This window comes from Homo sapiens, chromosome 3, assembly GCF_000001405.40.
Source record: "Homo sapiens chromosome 3, GRCh38.p14 Primary Assembly".
NCBI lineage: Eukaryota > Metazoa > Chordata > Mammalia > Primates > Hominidae > Homo > Homo sapiens.
This window is the reverse complement of record NC_000003.12, coordinates 103,858,073-103,870,842: the sequence shown is the minus strand read 5'-3', so window position 1 is coordinate 103,870,842 and position 12,770 is coordinate 103,858,073. Positions and strand designations below refer to the sequence as shown.

Sequence of the window (12,770 nt, the reverse complement as noted above, 5' to 3'; positions counted from 1 at the left end):
TTCAATGAGTATCTTCTTTCTCTAATTCTACCACATAAAGCCAAACTAATTCATGTCCCTTCATAGTATTTTATACATATATAGATTATGCCATGACTTCTTTATTTGTATATCTCCATTTGGGTTCCCAGAGAGGCCACGTTCAATATTTCATGTTTATTCTTCCTGTTACAATATCAATATATAGTTAATAGAAAACACTCAGTAATTGTTAGCTGAAATAATATAAAATGTGAGAACAAAGGCCATTACTTATTTAATAATAAGTAAACAAAATTAAATAAAGGAATACGTTTCCTTGGTTAATTTTGTCTCAGTCTTTGAAGAAATATGTATGTATGTATACATATGTATATACATAAACAAATTTACCTTTTAATTGCCAAAATAATAGCAGGGAGAAGGCAGAACCAGAAACATTCAAATGTAAAATCCAAATGCAACTATTAATTTAAAAAATTGATGATATAATTTTAATTTTTTATTTATAGTGTGACTTATAAGTATATAGTTTGTTTTATGACCTTAAAATAATTACCTATGTGAAAGACTAGAATATTTTTTACGATTGGATGGCAAACCCTCTTTCTCATTAGTTTTAAAATAAGGTTTTAGTGTGGTTGATTGTAAAAAGTAAAGAAATATCAGTAAGATTTCATCTCTTTTATTTAATATTATAGCAAGGAAGTAAAAAAGATAAAACAAGGAACAGACTTCTACAAAATTTCAATTAGTTCTCAGATAATGGGAAATTATTTCTATAAACAAAAATAGGAGGCTATGAAATAAACAATACTCCTTTCAGTAATTTTAAAGCTTTTCTGATTATAGTATCATAATTTATAATATTATTTCTTGAAATAATATGTCTAAAAGTACAGAATGGTATTGTTAAACTAACCCTGGGAAATCTAACATTGACTTCTTTGTTATACACTTTTAATTATTTTAATAAATAAACTCATTTTGCAAATAGAAGCAATACTTTTAAACTGCCTGTATTATATGAAATAAAAATAATGTGGCCTAAATTTTGTTTTCTACATAAAACATCCAAATCAGATCTTTTCTAAACTAAAATTTCAAATTCAGTAGGACTTCCATGGTGTCTTTCTTAAATATCATTTCAATTTAATTACTAAAACACCTTTGTCCTAAGTTAATCCATAGTCACAGAACCTTAGTCTGGTGCAAGACATGAGCACCAAAATATGGCCATCACTTTCACCCTTGGGCCTCCTTCTCTCAAGCTTTTCTTTCTTTTACTTGTTCATAGATGTTTTATATATTTATTCTTTCACTTGTTTCACCAAGGTCACATGTCTTTTTGTTTCCCAAAGGATGTTCGTTCTGTAATCTGTGGGCTATTCACGTTGGATATAAAATGGGTGATTTATTTTCCAGAGCATAAAGTGGAGGAATGTGCAAAGGCAAAGAACATTTGAATATTATTGCGTATTTTCTTCTCAATTTTAATGCGGAGAAAAAGGTGGTTATATGTAATGATGTGAGAGGCATCACATCATTACATGATGTGAAGCAGAGTTTGAGAGATTGCAGGATCAGATGAAAGTCAGAGCTATGATGAGAAAGGATGGATTAGAAATAGATAATGAGTAGAAAGAACAGTTCTCCTATGCCTTAGTAAGAAGCAGTAAAGTGTTGTTACATATCCTCATTCACAGATTTGTGGATGAAAGCTTAAATTCTCATCTCATTGCTTGAGTCTATGAACAGTATGCAAAAACATCTGCTAAAAATGAAGTTTGATTAATAGGATATGAAAAATGTTATGAGAAGAATGGAACATTTAAAATTATCTACCATGTAGAAAAGGAGATAAAATAAATATAGTGGGATTGCCAGGTCCAATTTATGTTGGAGACTATGAATATGTAGAAGCACTTGTATTAGTCAGGGTTCTCCAGAGAAATAAAACCAAAGGAGGTAGGTAGATACATAGAAAGACAAATAGATACTTATTTTGAGGGATTGGCTCACATGATTTTGGATGCTGAGAAGCCCCATGATCTGCAATATGCAAACTGGAGGCCCAGGAAATCCACTGGAATAGTTCCAGTCCAAACTCAAAGGCTGGAGAACCAGAAGTGTCAATGTGTACATCCAATTTCTAATCCAAAGGCACAAGAACCGGGGGTGCTTCTGTCTCATGGTAGGAGAAGAATGAGGTCCCAACTCGAGCAGAGACAAAATTTGCCCTTCCTCCACCTTTTTGTTCTATCTGGGCCCTTGGTAGATTGGAAGATACCCACCAACAATGGTGAGGACAGATCTTCTTTACTAAATCTACTGATTCAAGTGCAAATCTATCAATAGTTCAGAAATAGCCTCCCACATATTTCCGTAAATAATGCTTTCCAGTTATTTGGGTATCCCTTAACCCATTCAAGTTGACACATAAAATTAACCATCAGAGCACCCATCTGTGAGTGTGGGTAGATTTCGCCCTGGACTATGCTTAGGTTTAGAGATGATAGAAAGATTGATACAGGATTGGAATTTTTTTCTGATTGTACTGAAAATATGATATAATACATAAGAGAGTTGATAATGTCAAACAGAAAAAAAACTAAGCTAGAATCATTGAAATGGTTTAGAACTAACCAGAAAAGAATAACTAATGGTTTGACAGCTTTATGAAGTGAAAGAACAGTGGCGTTGTGAGTAATTTGATGAAGAAACAGGAAGAATAGGAAGTTTTCATGAGATTGAAGAACCTAGATATGTGGTTTCAAAGTCAATCATTCAGATGATTTTTAAAATGTACTTCTCATGGTCTAGTCAATGTTTCTAATACAGTTTACCTAAGTATTCAATTTCCTTCTTATAAGACTAGATGTTCAGCATTGGAGGTATAATTATTGTTAAGTGGTTTTAGGGACATAAGTCCTGCCTGACTTTTCTGTCAATTATTTTTTACTATCACTGCATTTCTACAAAGGAACATATTTCCAGACTCAGATCTCACAAGTTTCTATAGCTAAAATGAACTCAAAGTGATGGTCCCACATCAAGCATGACCAACAAATTTAGATGTCAGAGTTACATGTCACCTGAAGAACTATGCTCCTTTTACATTGAGCACCTTCTGATCTGTATGTGTTAGTGAAATAGACAACCAGTGACTGGTGGCTCAAAAGTCAGACTAAATAATGGATTAAATAGTTTATCTCCTCTGCTGTAATAAACTTTTCCATTAACCCTTCAAAAAACAAAAACACATATAGGATCCATGGAGAATAGGAGAAAAAACATTCCAGATGAGAAAAACAACTCTATCCAACCTTGTACCTCCCCAAATCTTTAAATTGTATGCAGATTACTGCTTACAGCAAATTCCCCTAGATTTCTCTGTGTCTCTGATATGATGACAAAGACTTATGTCCTCTAACTTCTGCTATGCTCTCTCCCTTCTATAGCTACCACTTTTGTCTCTTTGCCTTGCATTATATCCTAGGTTTTCAAACTCTAAATATTCATTTATACATAAAAGAGCTATGATTCCACCCATCCCTGTTTATTATTCTTTAAGACGGATTCGATTTTCTTTCTCCATTTCAATAACTTGTCAGGATATTTTTGTTTATCATCAACTATATGTGTGCGTGTGTGTGTGTGTATAGATGAAATCTAAGTACTACTTTAATATAAACTATAAACTGGTTACAAATGTAAAAACAAGCATTTTTGTTAATGTATTGCTTCTTTGCCAAAAAGAAACCTTTTTCTCTAAGGGACTAAAATGAACAAATATGAACAATGGAGACTAAATCACTGAGAATACAAGTTTTGAAGAAATATGCACTCTTTCCAATCGTCTGGATGTGGATAGACAAAATTCCAGTGAACTGTGTATTTAAATATATTTTTGTTTAAGTTTTAATTTTCTTTACATGAAAGCATTACCATATTCAGAAGGGCAATCATGGTTACAAATTGGGATTCCATGTTTAGTAGGACCAACCTCAACTGTTTGCCAGTTTGCCATAGAGTTGAGTGAAATGTATTTTTTTCTGCCTACTTCTCAGCTAGTTTAGGTAGCTGCAATGTTGTTTTCCTATAATTTTAGCTTTAATTGAATGGAAGAAAATATTAAACATGGAATAAACTATATAAACTTCATTGGTTCAAAGGAGAAAAACTCCCATAAGAATCTTTGAAGACAAACACTTCTTAACACTGGTGTGCCAGTCCTCACCAAGGAGCTTTAGATGTGTGCGGCAGGAGGAGACAACACACACATTACTCTTGCCTTCTCACATCTCTCTTGAAATGATCTCTTACTGACAAATGAAAGTATTTGCCCTGGGAGGTACTAAAGTTGCAGATGGATTGTGGGTCATGCTATACATATGAAAAATATTATTCAAATATTATAGGTGGAGGAACTGAGACTCAAAGACTGTATGTTTCAGTAACTACTACAGTAGAATCAAGATTCAAATTCAGGCCTATTTATCATTCTGTTATGAAATAGTTGTTATTAATATTTTATAATTTCCCTTAGATCAGCAGTTCTCATCTGGAGGCTATTTTGCCCCCAGGGAACATATGACAATGTCTGGAGACGTTATTTTGGTTGTCATAACTGGAGGCTGCCTCTGGCATCTAGGGAATAGAGGCTAAGATACTGCTAAACATTCTGCCTTGCACAAGAAAGCACCGCTTCTACCCCCGATAAGGAGTTATCTGGTCCCTGAAGTCAATAATGTTGAAATTAAGAAACCCTACCTTGGGTGTTACTGATGTCTTTGGTATATGGAAAGAAATTGTACTTACAGAGGTACCATAGGAACAGACAGAACAAGCCTTCCATCCTTGCATTTGCATACAAGCGTTGTCACGAAAGCAAACTTGCTGGATGTGTTTCCTAGAGCAAATAATCTGGCTCTATATTGCTTCCCAGAGTGTGGAGCCCAATCTCAAGGGCACCAATGTTACCTTTAGCAGGTCACTAATATGTGGAAGAAAATAAAGTAGGTAGGTCATTTCTTCCAACAAACTACTTAAGCACAATGCATTGTATTTACATTCTATAAGAAAAAAAGTTTATTATTTGAAAGTAGGCTTCTTCAGACTTCAGCAACATTAAACAGTCCTCAGTAGAGACCAGCCTATGCAAAGAAAGGAACCCAGCTATAAAGAGTTGGAAGTGAAGAATGATTTGAACATTTGCACAACCCTCCATTCAGGGTTATAAATCAAAATTATCAAATAGAGAAAATTATATATTTGTTGCTCAACAAATGGTCTCAAACACAAAACTTTTCCATTCTGTATAAAAATCATCTCTTAGTGGTTGTTAAAATAAAGTCTTCATAATCAAGAACTTCTTTCTTCCTTAACATATCCTACCACTGACATACATAGTGTTATTTTATGGAGGTTCACTTTATGGCACACTACATAAAGAAAATAATTGTTGCACTTATAATCGGTGTGTTTAAGTAGCATAAAAATGACTGCAGCTCACCTTCTCTTAAATATAAATTTATTTTTAAAATAACTTGTAATATAAGTCAAAGAGGGTTATTAAACATAAATTTATTTTTAAAATAACTTGTAATATAAGCAAAAGAGGAATTGAATTTTGCTTTAAATGTTTAATATTTTAAAAATATATGAAGTGGATAAATGCTTATCACAGAAAGTTTAACAAATAAAGTAAAATTAAAGAGTGCGTAGACACACACACAGAAGTTTCCCATTAATTCTCCAATCAGAAAGAATATTTCTTCACATTTTAATGCATTAAAGAAAGTTTGGTTTAAACTTTAGGTACAATTTTGAGACTTTCACTTAAAATTATGTCATAAATGTTTTCTATGTACATAAATGTTCTTGGAAACTATTTTTAAATGCCTATTTTCTATGTATTTAGAGAAACTAGGTGTATTTATTACATAAAAATAGAAAATATAGGTGAGCAAATAGAAAATTCAACTAACTATGCTAATTTCCAATAACTTCTGGCCTATTTTAAAGTATATTCTGTAATGTTGTATGCATTTATCACTTTAGAATATCTTGATTTAAAAAAGTAAGGAAACCTAATATTTTCTAAACTCTTATTCTCAAAATTAGTGAGTTTAAGCATGTGTATAAATATTCTTTGCCAAGGTCAGTATCGAGAAGGGTATTTTCTAGGGTTTCTTCTATGATTTTTATAGTTTGGGGGCTTACATTTAAGTCTTTAATTCATTTTTAGTTAATTTTTTATATGGTAAAATGTAGGGGTCCAGTTTCATTCCTCTGCATCTGGATAGCCAGTTGTTCCAGCACCATTTATTGAAGAGGGAGTCTTTTTCTCATTACTTATTTCATCAACTCTGCCAAAGATCACATGGTTATAGATATGTCTTTATTTCTGGGTCTCTATTTTGTTCCATTGGTCTGTGTGTCCATTTTGTATTAGTACCATGCTCTTTTGGTTACTGTCAACTTGTACTATAATTTGAAGTTGGGTAATGTGATACATCTGGCTTTACTCTCTTTGCTTAGTATATCTGTACCTATTTGGGAACTATTTTGGTTCCATATGAATTTTAGAAGGGTTTTACTTAATTCTGTGAAAAATGAAATAGGTAGTTTGATAAGAATAGCATTGAGTGCATAAATTCCTTTTGACAATATGGTCTTTTTAATGATACTAACTCTTCCAATCCATGAGCAGAGAAAAATCAAAACCACAATGAGATACCATCTCACACCAGTCAGAATGGCTTTTGTTAAAAAAATCCAAAGATATCAAATACTGACAAGGCTTTCGAGAAGAGGGAACATTTATACATTGTTGGTGGGAATTAAATTAGTCCTTTTTGGTGTTACGCTGTCTTGTGTTGTTATAAATAAATACCTGAGACTAGGTTATTTATTAAAAGGAGGTTTATTTGGCTTATAGTTTTGCAGACTTCCTGAGGGCCTCAGGAAGCTTCCAATCATGACAGAAGGCAAAGGATGAGCAAGCGAGTCACATGGAGAGAGAGGGAACAAGAGAGAGAGAAGGAGGTACCAAGAGGTTCAAACAGCTTTTATGTGAACAAATGGAGTGAGAACTCATTCACAGCCATGAGGAGGTTACCAAACCATTTATGAGGGATCTGCTTCCATGACCCAAACACCTCCCGCTAGGCCCACCTCCATCACTAGGGGTCATATTTCAACATGAGATTTGGAGGAAGCAAATGTCCAAACTGTATCATTCTTCCTCGGACTGCCCCTCCATCTCATGTTCTGCTTACATTGCAAAATACATTGATGTCCTCCCAGTAGCCCCCCAAAGTCTTAACTTGTTCCAGTGTCAACTCAAAGTCCAAAGTCTCATCTGAGACTCGAGGCAAGTTCTTTCCACCTATGATCCTGCAAGAGCAAAAATAAGTTATTTTCTTCCAAGATACAATGGTGGTACAGGCATTGGGTAAATATTTTCATTCCAAAAGGAAGAAATTGGCCAAAAGAAAAAGGCAATAGGCTCCACCCAAGTCTGAAACCAGGCAGGGTAGTCATTAAACCTTAAAGCTCCAAAATAATTTTTCTTGACTCAATTTCTTATATCCCGGCACACTGGTGTGAGGGGTGGGCTCCCAAAGCCTTGGGCAGCTCCATCCCTGTGTCTTTGCTGAGTGCAGCCCTCATAGCTGCTCTCATGGTTTGGAGTTGAGTGCTGTGGCTTTTCTATGCTCAGAGTGTAGGCTTCCATTGGCTTTACATTCTCAGGTCTGGAGGGCGGTGGCCCCAGTCCCACAGATCCAATGAGACAGTGCCCTGGTAGGGCCACAACATGGGGACTCCATCTAGACATTTCTCCCCAGCATTGCCCTAGTAGAGGCTCTCTGCGGAGGCTCTGCCCATGGCACAGGCTTCTGCCTGGACACTCAGGCTTTCCCATACATCCTCTGAAATCTAGGTGGATGCTGTCAAGCCTTGTTTTCTCTAGCATTCTGTGTTTCTCCAGGCTTCTCACCACGTGGAAACCACCAAGGCTTACAGTGGCTTGCACTCTCATAAGTGGCAGTCCAGGTCATATCTAGGGCCCTTTGAGACATAGCTGGAGCTGAACTAGAGCAGCCAGAATGTAAAAAGCAGCCTCTCAAGATGGTGCAGGGCAATGGTGCCCTGGGACTGCCCTCTGAAACCATTCTTTTCTCCTAGATCTCTGGGCCTGTGGTGATAGGGATGGTCCTGAAAACTAAAAGTCTTCCAGGACTTTTTGCCATTGTCTTGACAATTGGCACTTGGCTCCCATTTTGTCATGCAAATCTCTCTAGCAAGAGGTTACTATTCATTCCTCTTGATTTCCTCTCTTGAAAATGCTCTTTCCTTCTCTACCACATAGCCAAGATGCAAATTTTCCAAACTTTTATTCTCTACTTTCCTTTTAATTATAATTTCCAGTTTTACATCATTTCTTTGCTCCCACATCAGATAATAGGATGCTAGAAGGAGCCGTACCACATCTTGAATCCTTTGCTGCATAGAAAATTCTTCTGCTGGATACTTTAGGTTATCATTTTTAAGTTTAACCTTTCACAAATCATTAGCACATGGGCACAGTGCAGTCAAGTTCTTTGCTAGGGCATAACCTTTTGCTTAGGGTAAAAGGGTAACCTTTGCTCCAGTCCTGCATAAGTTCCTTATTACCATCTGAGACCTCATAAGGCTGGTCTTCACTGTCCTCATGTCTATCCGCATTTTGGTCACAACCATTAAATCACTCTTTATTAAGTTACAACCTTTCTCTCATCTTCCTGTCTCTTTATGAGCCCTTCAAACTCTTCCAACATCCGCCAGTCCCAAAGCCACTTCCCCATTTTCAAGTATCTTTATAGACATGCCCTCGTTGGTACCAATTTTCTGTATTAGTCTATTTTGCATTATAAAAGAATACCTGAGACAGGGTAATTTATAAAGAAAAGAGATTTATCTGGCTTATTGTTCTGCAAATGTATAGGAACCATAAGCTTCTGGTGGAAGGCAAAGGAGGAACAGCAATGTCACATGGTGAGAGGCAGGGCAAGAGAGAGAGAGGAGGGGTGCCATGCTCCTTTAAACAATCACCTCCTTTGTGAACTAACAGGGTGAGAATTCACTCATTACCATGGGGAAGGTACCAAGCCATTCATGAAGAATCTGCTCCAATAACCCAAACACTTCCCACTGGGCCCACCTCTAACATTGGAGGTCACATTTAAACATGAGATTTGGAGGGGACAAGCATTCAAACTGTATCAGATAGGAATATCTTGATTCTGTAAACTGTTTGGGGCAGTATGACCATTTTATCAATATTGATTCTTCCAATTTATGAGCCGAAAATGCAAATCAAAACCACAACAGAATAACGTCTCACACCAGTCAGAATGGCTTTTGTTAAAACGTCAAAAAATAACAAATGTTGGTAAGGTTGCAGAGAAAAGGAAACACTTATCCATAGTTGGTGGGGATGTAAATTAGTCCAGCCACTGTGGAGAGCAGTTTGGAGATTTCTCAGAAACTGAGATGAACTACCATTCAACCCAGAAATATCATTACTGATTATATACCCAAAGGAAAATAAATAATTCCACAAAAAAAATCTGCATTCCTATAGTCATCATAGCACTGTTCAAAATAGCAACGACATGGAATTAATCCACATTGCTCATCAAGGATGTATTGGATAAAGAAAATGTATATATACACCATGGAATACTATACAGCCACAAAAAGAACAAAATTATGTTCTTTGCAGCAACATGGATGCAGCTCAAGCTCATTATCTTAAGCAAATTAATGCACAAATAGAAAACCAAATACTGTATGTTCTCATAAGTGTGAGCTAAACATTAGGTACACATAGATATAAATGGCAACAATTGAAAAAAATTAAAAAGAAAAACCTAAACCCATCTTTAAATTAAATCATAAATAAATAAATATTCTCTAAAATATGATTTTAATGATACATAGTGTTTTACCATATGATTATAATACTCTTTTCTTAATATATCCCTGTGTTCAAGCTTATAATTTTGTAAATTTTACAATTCTAAACAATGCTGCATAGAACATCCACATAGCAAAATATTTGCCTTCTGACACATAACTATTTTTAAAATAAATCTCTAGAAATTTAATTGCTCTAATAAAGAGAATAAAGCAAATTTAAATAAATTTTTGATACATGTTGACATAGTGCTCTTTAAAAGACTTGTGCTAATTTATTCCCATAGCAGCAAGTGGCACTTTAAATGACTGCTGAACGTTTCTCTCTCAGCTGTCTCCAGAGTAATAGTGTTGTGGTTCATTAATTAAACATTCATGCATTTGTGAATTTTAGCTGTGCACTATATAAAGTTTTTAAATTGCTTTAAACATATATCTCCTTTCAAACTGTTACTACTTAGGAATATTAAGCAGCTAATAAAGTTTAGTATAGTATTTGTCTTCTAATTGTTTTAAAAAAGTAGAATTATAATATGATTGAAAAAACTTTCAACAATAAAAAAGAATACATTTTGAAGACCATTTATACATTCAAATTGATATGGAAGACTGAAAAGGACCATCCAAGTAGCCTGAATGGCAAAAGCAAATATTTAGAGAGAGCAATAAATGTGTACTAAAGTTCTTACAGAGGTAGTTCAGCATAGAAGAAAATTGCTGGAAACAAATTAGAGATAAGATTGGAAAAGTGTGTATGCATGTCCATTGTGGTTCAAGAGTGGGTAAAGGCTGAAGATTTATCTTTGAAAGATTTAATGACCTTTCCTGGCTGGCCATCAAGTCTTCTGCTGAAAGAAGAAAGCTTGCGGAAATTGTGGGTAAAATGATCTAAAAAGTAAACCCTGCTTTAAAAAAAGCTATCAAAAGGGAAGGTTTATGTCTATATAGAAGAAAGTGTCAACAATTCCAAATTCCTTTTCATAATGATGGTGAGAAAGCTGCATACAGACATAGATTTGTTTGGAAGTTTTTTTTTTCCTTAAACATCAGCAGACAGAAGTGATTCTGCCTCAAATTTCTAATTAAAGAAAAAATGTAAGCAGAGATGTGAAAAGTGGATATGTAAAAAGAACACGTGGGTGGGTGTTAAAACTTAGGACCGAAATATTAATTCTTTTTGTCACACTATAAAATTTTACCAAAACACTGCTATAATATAGAGTTCTGCTGGATTTTTATCTTGGTTGATTTTCAGATATGAGATTTTATATACACATACACAGAAACATATATGCACATACACATATATACACACACACACACAAACATACATACATATATACATATGTGGTGTATACCTTTTTTCCAGATTACAAAGTAATGAATGCCCAAAGAAAAAAGTTTGGAAAACATTGAAAAGTATAAAAAGAAAATTTAAGTTACTCATATTACAACTACACAAATAAAATATGAAACTATGACTATTTCACCTAATCAAATCCTTATTTACCATTATACTCAGCACAGAGATTAATTGAATCTTAACAGCTTGCCACATTTGCTTATGTTTATCTGAGTTCTCTCAGAAAGATGGAAAGATAGGATAAGCCCTGCAAGAGATTCACTGAGGAACACAGTGTTGACTAAAAATATGGAGCAAGCTGCAGGAGGTTAGGAATGCTATACGACTGTGATACAACTTGAACCCTTTGAAAGAAAAAGGTAGTAAAGGAAGAAGGAAAAGGCAGAAATGCCAAAACAGCAGTGCAGTTCTAGGGAAGTGTTGGCAAGCCTCACAAGCAGTTCTGGAGTCAAAACTCCAGGTGAAGTGTCACATCTTTTAAGTATAGGTCTGCCTTAGTTTCCCTGTTGAGCTTAGTTATTGGCTAGAGGAGCCAGTGGAAAGAGTGACCGTTGAACTAATACATTGATGGATTTCAAATTGCAACAGCAAAGTCAGCAGGAGACTGGACAGGTGCATTTTTATGGCTACCATATTGTTGAAATAGTTTCTGTAATAATAATAATAATAATAATAATAAATAAATAATAAAATAAAATCCAAATAGAGGTTGCCTCTGCAGGCCTTTATCATGCTAATCTACCTCATGACCAAAGAGGAATCATTAACAAAAATTTGGTAATAAAAATAAAAATAAAAATTTGGTAATAAAAGTTCTTATGAGGTTTTAATCTAATATTAGTATGTTTTATAACCATAAGCATAAAAACTAAAATTTTGTAGGTTTTACAATTTAGTATAAATTATATTTACTGTACATATCTTGCTATATAATGCTTCTTTCACTTGACATTTTGTTTCAGGCTATGAATGTATTAATACATATGATTCTAGTTCAATGCTTTCACTGCCATATGGCTGTCATAGGCAAATAGCATAATTTATCCATTTATATTGTTTCTAATATATTATTCTAACAAACCATACTGTAAAACACATTATTGTGAGCATGTCATTGCATATGAGTAGAAGAGTTTTTCTTATGTACAGGATACATTTAGAAGTACAATTTTAGAGCTTCAGGTTATAAACATTTTTTGCTTTACCAGGTATTGCTACATTACTCTTTAAAGTAGTAGTACAAATGTATGCCATTTTTACCAGTACATGACTCTGTTTTTGCATTCTTATCAAAACTAGTTTTTTCTAAGGCATTTTTAAGCCAGTCTCTTGGGTAGAAAATAATATCTAACTTTTTTTGTTTACATTATTATTATTAGTTGGTTTGAACATTTTTCCTGTGTATTGTCAGTTGATCTTTTTCTTCCGTTAATTGTCTATTCATTTTCTTTCCATTCACTAC

General features: G+C 34.4%; 1 annotated feature.

Annotated features, from left to right (window-relative positions):
- Window positions 7,971-8,646: an enhancer, noted in NCBI's record as "OCT4-NANOG hESC enhancer chr3:103581041-103581716 (GRCh37/hg19 assembly coordinates)". NCBI's record gives its function as "activates a minimal SCP1, AML or CMV promoter by ChIP-STARR-seq in primed H9 embryonic stem cells {active_cell/tissue: H9 hESC(primed)}" and the evidence as "EXISTENCE:reporter gene assay evidence [ECO:0000049][PMID:30033119]".